Source organism: Homo sapiens, chromosome 2, assembly GCF_000001405.40.
Source record: "Homo sapiens chromosome 2, GRCh38.p14 Primary Assembly".
Classification (NCBI taxonomy): domain Eukaryota; kingdom Metazoa; phylum Chordata; class Mammalia; order Primates; family Hominidae; genus Homo; species Homo sapiens.
This window is the reverse complement of record NC_000002.12, coordinates 90,072,138-90,089,019: the sequence shown is the minus strand read 5'-3', so window position 1 is coordinate 90,089,019 and position 16,882 is coordinate 90,072,138. Positions and strand designations below refer to the sequence as shown.

General features: G+C 42.1%; 1 gene segment (V, D, J or C) and 1 further gene, besides 2 other annotated features; both read right to left on the bottom strand.

The window, feature by feature from the left end:
* The window catches only part of IGK (immunoglobulin kappa locus), a 1,378,008-nt gene that overhangs the window by 146,349 nt on the left and 1,214,777 nt on the right, over window positions 1–16,882 (bottom strand).
* On the bottom strand, window positions 5,729–6,204 carry IGKV1D-17 (immunoglobulin kappa variable 1D-17). The segment is given in 2 exon segments: window positions 5,729–6,024; window positions 6,150–6,204. Coding segments are annotated over 2 exon segments (351 nt in total), but the record flags the coding sequence as incomplete, so codon positions are not given.
* Window positions 6,014–6,024: a sequence feature (IGKV1D-17 leader sequence).
* Window positions 6,150–6,204: a sequence feature (IGKV1D-17 leader sequence).

Genomic DNA, 16,882 nt, shown 5'->3' with positions numbered 1-16,882 from the left:
GCCTATAATCCCAGCACTTTGGGAGGCTGAGGAAGGCAGATCACTGGAGGTCAGCAGTTTGAGACCAGCCTGGCCAACATGGTGAAACGCTGTCTCTACTAAAAGTACAAAACATAGCCGGGCATGGTGGTGTGCACCTGTAGTCCTAGCTACTCTGGAGGTTGAGGCAGGAGAATCGCTTGAACCTGGAAGGCATAGGTTGCAGTGAGTGTAGATCGTGCCACTGCACTGCATCCTGAGTGACAGAGTGAGACTATCTGAGGAAAAAAAAAAATGAAATCTTGAGATACTCAGGCCCTATCATTTTCCTACAGCAAGTGAGGAGTTGCCATTCAAAAGAGGCACAACTGGTGGCCACTTCAGGAAACTTTTGCATCCAAAAGCTGAGTCTGGTGCACCTAGTGACATTGCCACAGACTCCAGTCAGCATGCATAGAAATAGTGGATACCTGGATTTCCATCGAGCAAGCAGGCTCTAAAGGTCTTAAATAAATGCCTTGGACATGTATAGTTGAATAGATTCCAAGGCTACCGTTGCAAAGGGCTCCATTCAAAGTTGGCAACTTTGTTCATGATTTTGACTAAGGTGACCAAAAAAAAAAAAAAAAAAGACTCAGGGGGACAGTGCAACTAGGTGAGAACCCAGTGGCTTTCCCGAGCTTATTTGTCTTGCATTTTTGGTGACATGGATTGTTGTTCACATTGTCTTCCTCTGGCAGGTCCACCTGGAAAGCATTATATATTTAGCAAGAAAAAAGGAGGCTGTGAATGATGTCACTGCGGACTGCGTATATTCCCTGTTGCAAATGTCAGATCCATGAAGCATAAAGTGATTAACTAGAAGATATTAAATTCCTTACAAATTGTTGAAAAGCCTTAAAGAACAGGCTCCAGTCAAAGCCTCTAGAACAATTCCAAGAATCATACTGCTGGCACAGGCTGGGGAGGAGCTCCTACTGTTTGAGACATTCAAGCTGTCTTTTGCAGCAGAAAAGAGACCAGCTCTTCTCACTACTGCCCCCAGGAGGACAGCAGCTCTGCTATCAACTGTCAACTGCTGGAAATCTGACCCCTTTCTCTGACTGCCCATCAGATGTGTTACTACAGAGTCGTTTTGGATTGAGATGAGGGAGGGGAAATGTCTGATCTCACTCAAATGTGCTCATTTTCCTGGTCTCGGTCTCAGCCAGGCAGCACAGTCCTGTGGGCACAATATCTTCACTTGCCAGGTTCCTATAAAATGAGAGTATCTTTCTTGACTGTGGAAAATATGGAGATGAGGAGGGTCAAGCAATAGCAAAAGGAGTACTTGGAGTTGCCTGAGCTTCCACTCTGGTTTCCCCAAATGTTTTCAATCCATTTAATTCATGATAATAAACACCTTTCTGCCTAACCAGCCATAATCGCTTTTCTTAGATCCAAATGATTCAGTGATAAAACTAAAGAGAAAAAATAAATACACTTTTCAACGTTGAAGCTGACTAGGTGTCTGTCTCTGGTGTTTACCCCTCCACATTCCACTATGCATTTCGTCTTCCCTTTGCCTCACTGGAGATCCAAGTGCAAGTAATGCTTCACATAACTGTGATCCCTAGAACTTCATCCTGATGACTGTTGACATCTTCTCTGAGTTTTACCAGTGGAAATGGCAATAAATAGAAAGATTCCAGAAGGTCCCCTAGGGTCCATATTTTCTGTACTTCCTCTCTAAAATATGTAAAGTCAATTATGTTTGCTCTTGCTTTATACGGGCTAGATCTATGGCCCCAGCACACATCTGAACGCCCTGTGTTGACAACTTATCCAGTATTGTATTGAGTCTGAATGGTCACATGCTTATCATATCATTTCTTCCAATTTCATGCAATAATTGTCATGTCAACTGTTTGGATTAAGAACCATCAGCCAGAAAACCACAGCCCTGAGAAAATAGAAATAGAGTATTTCAAGCTGTTCAGTTGGCATAAGAATGATGAATCTGCAGCTCATTTTCAAGATATAAATATTCTGTTTATGGAAGTAACAGCACCATTCATGATTAGTGTTTCAGAGCCTCCACCACTTCTGACAGCATAGCAATTCAATAGCACAAAGGTTTGTGTGACAGCTTTGCTTGACTAATAATGGGTTTTTCCCTGTCTATAGGGAAAGCTGCACCTGTGCACATGACAAGAGCATGAGCTACATTTTGCTTCACTTTTTTTGAGGCAAATAAGTTGCTTGATCCAAAGCCATATTATGGAAGAACTTCCTGACTCTGATGAAAACTCTTTGAAAATCCACAAATAATATTTTATGCAGAAACATAACCGAAAAGGAAGGCAAATCCATATATAGTAAAATAACCACTGCCATCCTCATGTTCCATGAGGTCCACTAGAATCACCTGATACCAGTAATTAGTCTGAGCCCTGATGTGTGGTACAATGTTAAGGGTTCTGGAGGGGTCAGTTTTCTTGGCAAATTGGGTGTTCAGAAGAGCCAGTAGCCCTGTACATCTCAGTTAGTTGAAAGTCATATTATTGAGTCTCCACAGGGACCTCCATAACACTGGTTCGTGAGGCTAGCTGGGAAAGCTGGAAGAGGTAACTGAAGTCCATATGTTGAATCATCCTCATTATTAAAAGCCCGCTGCTCGTTAATGGCATTTCAATTAATATTCACTTGGAAAGCTTCTTATTCTTGATTATGGCTCATTTTTGAAACTTCTAGTCATAGCTCTTACAGAATGACTTTGTCTGAAATCATCCTGTTGCATTTCTTTTAAGGCCTGATGATCTGTCAAAACCAACAGCCAATATTATTAAACTGCTGTTCTCTTTGCAACGTGATCATCAGATGTAGGCCTTGCAGTTTACCCACTGTTATGAGTTTTACATTTCCAGAGCTTCCTTGACAATGGCACTGATGTGACTCCATCCAGCATCCATTGTTGTGAGAACTCTATTTGGAATATCATCATTGTGGGCATGAACATAATGGAGACTTTTATAGGATGCAATGGTTAATATTCAACATTAGTCAAAATTTGCTCTAGCCTTACCCTTGGAGCTCTACTGGATTGGAAAAATATTTTAGGTAAGGACAACCATTTGGTAAAGTTTTAAAAATAAAGGCTACAAATAAATTTTCTGTAGCAAGAGTATGAATTAGGTGTCATCACAAATACCATTTTTTTGTGTGGAATGTAACAATTATTTAAACGTATATAATTTAGATAATATTTTATAAATAAAATATGTATATATTGCATATATAACAGAATAAATGTACTTAAATATGAATACTGTACGTAGTTGTAGCCAACATTTTATCAAATAAATATATGTTCACTTCTATGTATCTTAAATATATATGCACTTTTTTCCATAAAGAAGGTAAATTTTAATTTTTTATTGAAATACTAATTAGTTTTAATTTTGTGTTTTTCTCTTAATAACTTCATAATTTGATTACTAAATATTCATATTTATACCACCAATTCAAGAAAAAATATGTATGTTTATATAGGTAGAGGTGTAAATACTGTATCAGGAAGTGTTTATGCATTAATTACGGTAACTGGTTAAATGTACAACTCAGTGGCTGATAACAGTAAACATTTGTTTTCACGTTCATAGATGCTCATGTTCACAATCATCTGGCTGATCAAGGAAGGTCTCTGCTGAGTGGCTCCTCTCAGCAGAGAGGAGCCTGTAGATTGTATTCAGCCTGTAGATATCAGTTGTTTAACGACAAGGCTGAACAGCAGTGACTACACATGACACAAGATTCTTGTGGCAGGTCACAGTAGTGATCAACATCCCAAACCAAACCGCACAGTTGAATTTAAGTCCAATAATTTCTAACATAGCTTCAAACATTTTAAATATATTCCTTTATTTCAATGAGTATAAGTTTTTAAGAAAATGTTTACTCCACTTAATTGTAGAGGTGTTTGATCATTCCATAGACAAATAATCATGTTTTCAACCTTCACAATCCTGAAAATATTTGCAAATGTAAGTTTGCATTAATAAGAAAGCAAAGCTGGATGTGTTTTCAACATGTGGCTTCAAATATAATTTTTTTAAATGACCTTTTTGGGGGAAAATCATTTTAACTTATGGAAATATCCCTCTTTACCTCTCATGTCCTATAGGGTTGCCCAATAAGAGGGTCCCCCATGAGATTTGGAAGTGAGAAAAGGAAGACTCAGTATTATCCATTGGTACCTAAGAGGCAGAGAGACAAAGGTGAGGACTGGAGAAACACCTGGAAAGATGCTCTAGGAAGCGAGAACTTCAGCAATTCCAGACTTAAGCTTCCAGACAGGACTGAGGACCACATGGTTAGAAAACCCTTACTTCAGGGGTGGATACATTCTGTTTTCAGTGGGAGCACCAAAGAATGCTGCTTCTAATATCAACTTTCCTGAATACTATATCCTTGGTTTTGAAAGGTTGTAGTGTGAATGTTAATCATAGGAATTGGGTCATTCTTGTCATACCAAACAGAGCCATGAAACCAGAGGGGAAAGGCACTCAGGGTGAAAAATATTGTTTCTAGAATGCAATTGAAATAGGCCCTATTATGCCATGGAACTAATGTTTATGGTTTTTTGAATAAACATAGAAATTGACTTCCCTGATCTTAAAACTCAAGATAGTTACATCTGTCTTACCTGAGTTCTTTTTTCAGTAAACCAACCATCAGGCCTCCCAGATACTATCAAGGAGCTGAAACTTACATATCACTGAATCAGGACAGTGGGACATCAGACCCTTCACTCATTATGACTGCATAACTGACCTCCTGCTTCTTGTTGACCAAATTATCTCCCTTAACCCTCCATAATTCCTGTTTTCCCACATTTCTTCCATGCTATATAAACCCCTAATTTTTGTTGGTCAGGGATACATTTGAGAATGGTGTCCCATCTCCTCAGCTACAGCACCTGATTAAAGCCTTTTCCTTGGCAATACTTGCCTTAGTGATTGGCTTTCTGAGTGGTGAGCTGCAGGATCTACGCTGAATCCCTGGTATTTCAGTAACAAAACACTCTGCAACCTTCACTGCTTTGGCTTCTTGTAACCTGAAATCAAATTTGTCCACAACTTCTGAGATAACTTGATATAATTCTAGGATTCACTTTGTCCACCACTGCTTCCCAGTCTGAGCTTGCCAGCTCCCAACCCTTCCTAGTGCCAATGAACTTTCTCAAAGAGCCATAGGTAATATTTTCCCTTTTTCATGAAACACTAACTTTTTCTTTGTTCTTGCCACATATTGAAGACCACTGAGTTTTCCTGTATGCCCCATTTGGGAAATATTTCTGTGTAAATAAAACATTACATTTAGAGATTCATCTCTACATTTTATTTAGACGTCAGTAGTTTACTTTAATTCTCTGTATTAAGACAATTCCTGCCTAGAATATCTATAGTGGCTTCTTCTCTGTTATATAAAGTCCAACTGAAGCCATAAACTAGACTCCTCAGGTGTCATGATCTCTGTCTGTATTAAATTCGGAGAGGCATTGCTATGTCTGTGTAGTTGGGGCTGAGAAAGAGAAAAGAATTAGGGTGCAGAGGTGACTTCATGTCCCCTTCTACCAACACCATCAGAGTGTGGCTGCATCTGAGGAACAATCTCAGCCGATGGAGGCATCAGGAGGAGCAGCTGGGGCAGCCCAGCCTCACACATCTTCTTCCCTGGGGGTTTATGTTCGGGTGTGTAACACTGTGGGAGGGTAACTATTATGCTGTAGACAGTAATAAGTTGCAAAATCTTCAGGCTGCAGGCTGCTGATTGTGAGAGTGAATTCTGTCCCAGATCCACTGCCGCTGAACCTTGATGGGACCCCACTTTGCAAACTGGATGCAGCATAGATCAGGTGCTTAGGGACTTTCCCTGGTTTCTGCTGAAACCAGGCTAAATAATTGCTAATGCCCTGCCTCGCCCGACAAGTGATGGTGACTCTGTCTCCTACAGATGCAGACATGGCAGATGGAGACTGGGTCATCTGGATGTTACATCTGGCACCTGAGATTGGAAACATAAAAACAAATGTCCACACAATTAATCATGTTGTAAGAGAATTTCCCTGAACAGTAAAGCAGTACTGAGCACTCTGGGCTGAGTAAACTGTTAGTGTTCTCCATCCTTACCTGGGAACCAGAGCAGCAGGAGCCCCAGGAGCTGAGCAGGGACCCTCATGTCCATGCTGTGTCCTGAGTGGGACTGATTCCTCCATGAAGTGTGTCCAGCCTATTAATAAGGCTTCAGGGCAGGAGGCTATGCTCTGGGAACATGCAAATGAGCAGGGGATGGGGCAGGCTGGGCGCAGCTGCAGGGCTGGCTCATCTCAGTAACTCAGCAGCAGCTCAGTGTCCCCAGGTGTCCCAGGTAAGATCAGGGTAGCACAGATTTGTCTGCAGAGAATGGGTTTCTACTGGAGACTATTTTGTTACGAGAGACATTTTTTAGATTTTTTTTGACAATTTGAAATATTCCTTAGGAGTCCGTGGAGTATCATATTTCATTGGCGTATGGGGAGTATATAGGAGGATATTCTTTTTTTGTAGGAAACACATAGTAAAGTTTTAGACGATAGAATTCTAAGGTCTTTAAAAGACTATTGTATAATTCCGGTTAGGGAAGGGGGTATTTATTGTATACTTGCAACTTTTCTGTAAGTTTATCATTGTTCCTTTCTAAAAAAAATTAAAAATAAAATATATTGACATGATGATGCATATATTTGTAAGTATGAGGTAATGGTGTTATACTATTGTTCTTACCAGTATAAGTTCAAGCAATTTACTACAAATACACAAAGATGATACCATGTTTCCTCAATGCATGCAGCACTCACACATTCACCATTATCAAGAGTGACAGGTCTCTTCAATACCCAGAGACTAAATGGGCTGTACCTTATTCTTGTTTTGGGCAACTTATAGTCTACCTTCTTTTCTGCCATTGAGTACTATTTTCCAAAGTTTATCTCTCTTAGTGAGCATGGCCACTGCACGGAGCATGTCTCTGCCATGCACCATCAATGCCACTGTCCGCTTTTACATTTTATCAGTGAGTGGGAACATCATCCTGACCCAGACACCAGCCTCCCTGCTAACATCTTTAGGAAAGAGACACTCAATCTTTTATCAAGCAACTGCCCATGTTCATGGACAAATCAGTTGGATCCAGATGAAATTGGACATGGATTTGCACTCGTTATATCTCACATCTCTAATGTGCCCAAAAATGTCCCAGCCTGGTTCAGTAGCAGGGAAAGTGGATACAACCATATCAGCATCAGTGGGCTGCAGCCTAGGGCTCCACAAAATTTTACTGATGCCTGACTAGGGGAGCCAAATCACAGTGCTGTAGCTTGTGCACAAATCTTCCTGCTGCTTTATAGGCTGCCTGAATTTTAAGGGAACTTGCTTATATTGGGAGAAAGGAAGAATGTTCCATTTGCCCTCTAAATGTTTGCTAAAAATAAACTGACAAAAGGAAGATTAATAAGAGAAAAGGCAAACTCAATTCACTTAAAGTGCAGCAGGATATCATAGCAGGGTGATTACCCAGATAAGTCAGTGAAATCCAGGTGTTTATATTTCTTGTTTAGGGAAGAGGGAATTGGGAAGTGTAGGCAACCTGGAGAGAATAGATGAGAATAGAAGTGCATCCTCAAAAGAATAGGTAATCACCTGCCTGGATGAAATATGAACTTCCAGTCTTTTCTATTTTTGACTCCTGTTTTGTGTCAATCTTCCCTGATATAAATATTCTCAGGAAGAATTTTCTTAAAAATTGGTTTCCTTCTGAAGAATTTGCTTTTAGGAAGATAAGGGATATTTAGGAAAAGCCTTTTTGTGCATTTGTCGCTTTCTAAATGCCTTTAGTTTTACATAATCATCATACAAATGCAGCACAGTTTGAGATGTTATTTTCTGGATTCCTTTACTTGGAACCCACCTGCCAAAATCCTGTTCCAGAGAGATGCAGCTACAGACTGAAAGAGCAGTTGACCCCTGAACAATGTGGAGGTTGGGGCACTGACCACTAGTGCAGTTGAAAACCTGTGTAGAACTTTTGCATCCCTAACTTAAGTACTAATAGATTACTTTTGACTAGAAGCCTTAGTGATCACATAAATAGTTGATTAACCCTTTTTTATATTATACATATTATATACTCTATTCTTCCAATAAAGTATGCTAAAGAAAAAAATGTTTTTAAGAAAACCATAAAAATGAGAAAACATATTTACTACTTACAAAGTGCTTGCTCACAGGTGACACACACAGAAGAAAATATAAGTGGATCTGCAAATTTCAAACCCAAGTTATTCAAGGATTAACTGTACCATGATGAATGTAGCAGTCCCCATCTGTGATCTGGGGCTTTCCCCTTTGCTGTACCTCTGCTCACTTCCAATGGCCATATATTGTCTTATGTTCTTTATGATCTTGGGCAGAGAGATCTGTCTGTATGCCTTGCTGGCCAGATGGCCTGGAATGTGTATCTCTTAGGAAAGTTTTATGGTTTGACTGTGTCCTCCAGAATCCATCTGTTGTAAAGTTAAATCTCAGTGTAATGGTATTGCCAGGTGGGGCCTATTGGGATGTGTTTAGGTCATGAGGTGAAGCCCTCTAGTGGAATACATTAATGCCACTATAAAGAGGAATTACAGGACTGGAATCCTTTTCTCTCTTCCATCCGTCTGTCATGTTAAGACAAGGCCTTTCTTCCTTTGAAGGAGTCAATGCTCCAGGCATCATCTTGAAAGCAGAGAAAGCAGACCTTAACCTGCCCATGCCTTGATCTTAAATTTCCCATTCCCCAGAAGTGTGAGAAAATTAATTTCTGTTCTTTATAAATTACACAGTGACAAGGAACCTGTTATAACAGTTTGAAATGGAACAAGAGAGACAGCTCACAATCAGTGAGGACAGGATGAGGTGTATACATACCCCAGCTTCCTCATTTCTCAGATGGAACAGCCCAGAGGAATTTAGTCCATGTTTCCACATGTGGTTGATCTTTAGTTATCCTGAGTCAGGTGGGCTGTTGATGTGTCTTTTACCATTCATTTTCTGCTCCCACCCTCACTTTCTTCCTTTCTTCGCACTGTAAATTTGCTGCCTAAACAGGAATCCTCATTGCTGGTGGACCCAAACCAAGATAGTGAAAAAAATTGTTTATCTTTTGTATGAGGGGTATTTCCCATGTTTATTCTTGTCACTTCTCTTTCTTTGACATGTAGGAATATCCAGGAAGCACTTAATTTTTTTTAACCAATCTATTTTAGATTGAATTTAGGCGGTGATTTTTTTTGTTCTGTTTGTTAAAACAAAAAAATAAGTTGTAAGCCACCAATCAGCTGAACGGTCTCTTCTTGTGGCAGAGAGAACTTCAAAGAAAACAGAAAAACTAGGTTAGGCCATGACTGGCAGGTGGGTTTCGATGTGCCTCATTATACTCTCCTCACTTTGGAGTTCAGACAAAACTGACCAACATTATCATTACGAGAGACAGCTTTGGACTGACAAAACAGATGCTTTGTAGCGATAAGATACCATACTCCAACATGACAGATAATAGGCCCTGAAGAAAATCTAAATATTTTACCTTAAAAGTAATTCTTCATCATATTCTGAAGTGGCCCTGCAAAGCTGCCTGTAGTGGAGGAAATTTGCATTCTGCAGAGAAACTCCTCCCCTTACTCAGTCTTTTCCAAAGAGTCTGACATTTTTTTTAAGGTCTGATAGGCAACATTCACCATCTACTTTGTCTGCTACCCATAGGACTCTTCTACATGACAAGAACCTTGGCTTCCACACCCCCTTATCTAAACTCAAGTATTTATTTATGATGAATTCAACTCTTTAGGCAGAGCTTAACTCTTTCAACCAGTGGCCAGTCAGGAAACCTTTGAATCCATGTATGACCTGGAAGCCTCTGCTTCAAAATATCCCACCTTTCCAGGACAAACTAATGTATATCTTATATGTATTGATTTATGTCTTTCCTCATAATTTCTGTCTCTCCAAAGTGTTTAAAACCAATGTGTAATCCAACCACCTTGGGCACATATTTGCAGGACATCCTAAGGCTGTGTCACAGGCCATAAGCCTTATCTTTGGCAAAATAAACCTATAACTTGATTGAGACCCGTCTCAGATACTGTTTTGTTTACACTGGATCACAAACTTAAAAATCCTCTAAAACAATCTACACAGCAATAAATCTACATTAGAGTCAGTGGAGTGATCATACCTTAACAGTTAAAGCTCACAATTTAAAGGAACCTGAGTCTAAGATTTTGTCCAGCTCTGTTTCATAAAAATACTTTGCGATTTTTAAAATTTTACTTTAGAGAAGGACAATTTTGGGGAATATGTTTATTGTTGGTGGAATGAATAATGTCCCCACCCCGAAAGATGCCCATGTCCTCGTCTCTGGAACCCAATTGATATAGGAGTTATTAAGAAATTATTTTAGGCAGATAGAGAGGAAAAGGTGTCCTTGGGAAGGTTTTGTTTCTTTTAAAGTAGCTCCAGAAAAGTTTCTTGCCTAGCAGGAAAGCCCTGATTCTTAGAGCCAGGCTGGCAAGCTTTGATATGCAAATTCTGGCCATTAGAAACTGAGTCCAGCCAAACATGGCGACTCCCACCATCTTCCTCCTGGCTCCCACATATGCCTGGCCACATGGCTGCCCCCATATATCCCCATGTGTATAGAATATTTTGGCACCCTGCATTTGTATATTAAAAGGCTATGGTGGGAAGGCCAGTTATATTGTAGGCTACATGAATGACATGCCTGGTCAAACCAATCCTGAGAGCCCTATGCAAATCAGACACCACTTCCTCCAGCCTCCTCATATAGGAGTCTCTTTTCTGCTGCACAGAGAGTTTTCTCTTTGAATCACACCTTCCCCTGTCTCTGTATGGGGGAGGTGTTTTCTTCTTCCTTCCTTCTTGCATATTAAACCTTTCTCTCCTTAAAACACTCCACATGTGTCTGTGTCGTTTTATCCAAACTGGCGTGAGATCAAGAACTCTGGTGTTCCTCCAGTCACTGGAGCCATATCATAAAAATTCTACCTTACATAGCAAAAAGAGAACTTGACAGATGTAAGTTAAGGACTTTGAGAATAAGAAACCTGGTTATCGAAATGAAACCAATATAATCACAAAGTCCTTAAAATAGAGGAGGAGGCTCACAGTCAGAGAGGAGCTGAGACAATAGGGAGGGATGTGGTTTGAGGAAGGAAGGGGCCATGGAACCAGAACTATGGGAGCACCTGGAACGTAAAAAGCAGAGAATCCAGTTCTCTCCTCTGGATCCTCCAGAAGGAATGCAGCCCTACTGACACCTTAGCATTAGCTCAGTGAGACTTCTGACCTCCAGAATTACAGGGTAATACATTTATGTTGTGTGAAGCCAATAAGACTGTGGTGATTTAAACAGCAGCGTTGGAAACTAATGCAAGGGGAAGAGATGTCTTTCAGCTCACTGAGTGCATGACTGTCCTCTGTTCTTGGAAATATTTCCACCTTGTTTTCTGGTGTCAGTTTTGACAAGAGACAGAGAAAATGTTTCTGAGAGAAGAGCTAGGACAAGAATTCTTTTTAGCTAGAAAATCTCTTGGGTAAAATCCCATGACTATCTCTTATACGATCTGGGTATCACAGAGTTTAGCGGTCAGATCTCACAGCACATGATAGGAGGAAGAGACTTCTGTTAGTTTGTTTTCATGTTAGGAGGGAAAATTGATTTTCAGCACACAATCTGAGAAAGACAAACTGAGTCAGAGATATTGTAAGAGAAAGAGGAGATGTGGAAGGATTCAGGGCAATGAAACATGTGTCCCAGCTCCAAAATCTAAAATAAAGTCATTGATTATCAAAGGTGAAGCAAAGCTCTTCACCTTCCATCTTCTTATGAAGGATCAAATTCTTCCCAGAGTCCCTGCCCCTCCTTCACTCCCCTGACATTGCATTGTGGAGCTAATCACATGTATCCTTAATCCCTGCTCCTGTCCCGGGCTGGGAGAGGCTCACTGTCCTCACCATGTCCAGCAGGATAGAGCTGGTGTCCTAGGCACCAAAGGAGAAGAAGATGGTTTCTGTGCAGGCAATAAGAGCTTTGCCACACATTACATTTCGCTATAACTCTAAGTAAAGTTGTGTGGAGAGAAGAGAACATATGGGCAACTTTACCTGGTGGGCTTGGAAGAGGCCAGGCTCTGAGAATGACAATGAATTCACATTTCTACTTTTCCAGATGGCAAATGCCAGCTTTAGCAATTATGGAAATGTGGACTTTGAGTTTAAGAACAAGACAGACTTTCCAGTACTACAATAAATGAGGAGACATTTGGAATAGGGTCCTTAACCCAGGGCTACAGTCAGGCTGGCAGTGCCTGAGAGCTGCCCGATGCTGACCCTAAGCTGTGGAGGAAGCAGCTGCTCTCCTGAGCCACAGAGCTGAGGACCTGGGAGGAACCACAGGCCCTGGCCACAGGGCTGCCTGGCAGGGGCTTAAGGGAAGGAAACTGCTCACAAATTCACGAGAGCTGCATTAAGCATATATCCTGCAGCCTGGCAAGAGTAAAAGTCTCAAGACCCAGACCTCGGGACTAGCTCTGGGTTCCTGGGATGGGTGCTGTCAGCTGTGCCCTCCCTGGTACTGAATGACTGGGACCTTGTTGGAGCCAAAGAGGGAGAGTCTGCAAATGTACTCAAAGTCTTTACTCAGCCAGACTCTGTTCTGCTTGGAAATAAAAGGAACACACGCTACAAAAATAAATGTAAAATTATGTGTATATGTAATATGAATTTCTAATATAAACTTTACATATTGAATACATATAATACTTTAGAAGTAAGTTGTATTTATATATTTGTATATACTATGTATCTGTTTATGAAAAAATATGCGATGCACGTTTATATATAAAGAGAACTTTGATTGCTAGTATAAGGTATAGTTTTAAACTTTAATAAGTTGAACATGAACATTGAAAATGAGCACTGGGTGTACCACCACATGGCCCCTTTCTCACTACAGGACCTGAGGGTCATAAAGCTCAGGACCCTCTTCCACGTTCCCCTGGGCTGAGAGCAGAGAGCTGCCCATTGCTGAGGATAATAAGTGACCTGAGGTGGGTGTGCAGAATCACAGAGCAGCAGATGCCCAGGAGATGGATAGTGGCTCTGGGCCCTGAATGGAGGGAAGTTTTGTCACCAGAGCTCAGCATAGACAAGTCCTCTTCTGGTCATTTCCATCAAACAAAGCAGCACATGTGGCTCAGAGGCTGCATAGTCACAGGATGAAGACCCGCCATGGCTCATTCCCAGCTTCCCCTCTGACTGGGGTGATGTGGGATCTCACTGCCCAGGTTTCATGACTCACCAGCTGCTGGGACTCTGTTGACAATGGCCTATGTCTGCTCCATGCACAAGCTTCTCAGTATTTGACATTTTACTTTCTGGTCTCCAGTAACCACGACTTGCCAACCATGACCCTTCCACAAAGATTCATGGAGTGGGGTCAGAACTATGGGTTCAGCAATGTGCTGGGCCATGTATATAAGAGAAACAAGGCGCGGCCAGCCCATGTCTGAAGTGAGGATGAATTTGCATCATGAATTCAGAGAAGGAGGTGGGAGAAAACATCCTGACATGCTCCGTGCAGTGATGCCCACAAGATACACTGGAGGTGACCATAGAGGAGGTGGGAAGGGAGTTTGAGACAAAGTGAATTCAGAGGTGTCCCTCAGCCTGTTGCCCTGAGAAGACTTCAGACCCTTAGCAGCCCCTGGGCAGAGCTGTTGCTAGGGAAGATTTGTGCATGATAGGAAACAGGAGGAGGGAGCACCTACCTCTGAAGGCATCTTGGTTGGTGATGGCCAGAGTGAAATATGTTCAGGCCCACCGCCCCTGACCCAGGCAGGGATCATGTCCAGTGGGGCAGCAGGATCAAGCAGGAGCAGGAGCTCAGAGCCAGATCTGGTTTCCGCTGGTGCCAGACTAGGATGTTTTTCATACTCCAGCAGGCCCTGCAGGTGACAGTGACCCTCTCACTTGGGACACAGGGAGGGGGCTGGAGATGGCATCCGCACAACATGCTGACTATTATCCAAGTGCGGAACAAACATGCAAATCTCCCAATATTAATACGAAGCAAGTAGTTTGTTCAATTTGATGCAATTCTGATCAGAAAAAAAGTGGGCTAACAACTTCATCATCAAAGAAATGTTCATGTTTGATACAAACTATCTGAGGATGAAGCCTCAGTTCCCCTTCCTCACCAGGCAGTCAGAACAGAAGGAGGAAGAGAAGAAAAGCTGGGTCCCAAAGTCCACAAGGTGCCTCCTGAGGCTGATTCTGCTCAGAGAAGGTGGGGACGGTAGATTGTCTGCTGGGACTGCCACATCAAAATTCCCTGGGCAGGATGGCTTAAAGGAAAGAAATTTACTTCTAACAGTTTGGAAGGCTGGAAAGTCCAAGATCAAGGTCCAGAAAGGTCTGCTTTCTGCTGAGGACCCTCCCTCTGATTTTCAGATGCCACCTTCTGTCCATGTCCTCACATGGCCTTTCCTCACTGCATGCATGGAGGGAGGGGGTGGAGGAGAGCTCAGTGGGGTCTCTTTTTATAAAGACACTAGTCTTATTGAATCAGGGCCCCATCCTTATTATCTCCTTTAACTCTAATTACCACCTTATATGCTTTATCTTCAAATGTAGCTATATTAGAGGTTAGAGATTCAAGAGAAGAGTTTCTGAAGCACAATTCAGTCCATAGCAGATGGGCTTTGGGGACACAGCCAAGGCAGCAGTGAAGGCAAGGCTGGGCTTCTAGTCTCAGAGCACAGAGCACAGAGGTGGTTCCCACAGTGCAGGATGCTGGCAGCTCCTCCCAGGTACTCTAGGTACCACAGAGACCACATTCCAGCCTTAGGGGCTACCTGTTGATAATAGGACACTATCACTCTTAACCTCTCCAAGTATTTCTCTGATCAGGGTTATATCTTAGGGTTATTATGGGGTTTGTCTACCACCTAGTCTTAAGATTGTAGCTTAGCCTCTTATATAGGATTGTAGATGCTGAGTCCCGGTGAGTCTTGACCGTGAGTCTTTTCACGGGTATTAATGAAGGGGATCTCAGGCCAGATTCATCCATCACTAGGCCAGATTCACAAAACAATTTCTCTTCTCAACAAACTAGCTGCATAGTTGAGGCCAAAAGATAGTCAGAAAAGTTATTTGTCAAAAAAATATTGTGGGCTAGATTCTGTGACCCATGTGAGATGCCAAAGTTTTGGAAAAGAGATGATGGGCCACGAGGAATCCTGCAGGACATAATGGCAGGGGTGGGGATGGGAAGCACAGGGCCCTGTTCTGGAACTGTCATCCCAGTCTCATTCCTCCCATCCAAGAAAGCCTTCCAGAGAAGCTCTGAGGACCACAGCAGCAGCTCCAGTCAAGAAGGATCCAGGCCACACTGCCCTCTGAATGAAAGCTGCTGAGGCCTGTGCTCTAAGCAGTAACACTGAGTGACCACATGTCATCATTGAGGTCAGCACCAGCCAAAACAATTTTTCTAAGATGATGAAAATGTCTGTATTTATGCTCTGCAAGGGTAGCCATTAATCATATGTGGTTACTGAGCCCTTGAAATACAGCATGTATAACTAAGAATCTACATTTTTAACTTTAATTAAGTCTGATTTACATATTTGCAGCTATGCATTGCTAGTGTTAACCACGTGAGACAGCACAGTTTTAGACAATAATAACCAACAATGTCATCAGGACAACTAAGTTGCTAATTAACAAGCGAGGGTCTTTTCCAGGACCATTGCACCAAGCTGGGGCTGTATGTTGGTCAAAGTAGACCACGTGGGTGGATCTTTGGAATCTTTTCTGGATTCTACTGCTTCTAGGCAGGTGGTAGAAACTCTTCCTCTTGGAGACACTGAGGGAGAGACTGGAGACTGGGGTCTACAGTGTTGCCACTAGAATCTGAGGTGGAAACAAAACACAAATCTTCCCCAGTATTAATGATGTCTCACTCTGTGGGCTTCCCAGCAGAGTCCTGCTGGCTGACCAAGCAGTAGGTGAATGCAGGAGGTGAATGCTGGGCTCCCTGAGCAATGGACTCAATCTCAGTCCCATGGGACATTTGAGCCCTGTCACATGGAGCCCCCACAGCTGAGGTCAGGGCACCAGGACACTAAGGGCCAGAGTGCTATGTCCAGTGTCCAGTGCTCCCCCTGCCTCAGATGGTCCCACCCCAAAGGCAGCGACCAACACACCAATAAGGGCTTGAGTGGCAGGGAGGGGCTTTAGGAAGCCTGCAAACTAGCAACAAAGGAGAGATCTGGGCTTCCAGCTTCTGAGCAAGAGAACATTCTGTGTCATGGGTATGATCCAGGCCAAGGTATTTGGTGAAAGATATTAGGATAAATTTTATTCTTAAGGGAATAAAATCACAGAAGGCATTGGATTATTATAGGATTGATTGGCTATTACAAAGGTTTAAAAACATACTTTTTTCAATACACAGTTGTTTATCTGAAATCCCCCGGTCCCTGCCCTCCTAATGGTGATCCGTTCACCACGGTCACTTCATTGTCTTCTCATCACTCAGATACATCTTCAGTATGACCCTGAGACCTTCCCCGATCAGCACAAATAAATGGCCTCAGACTCCAGATACCACATATCATTACCTGACTTTTATGTAGTTTGTCAACTACTGAAAGTATTCTATTCAGTTTCATTATGTGGTTATTGTTCTGTGCATGGCTCATTCCCCTACTGAATATCAGTGCTTGGGATCAAAATTTGTCTTAATTATTCACATGCATCTTACCCTC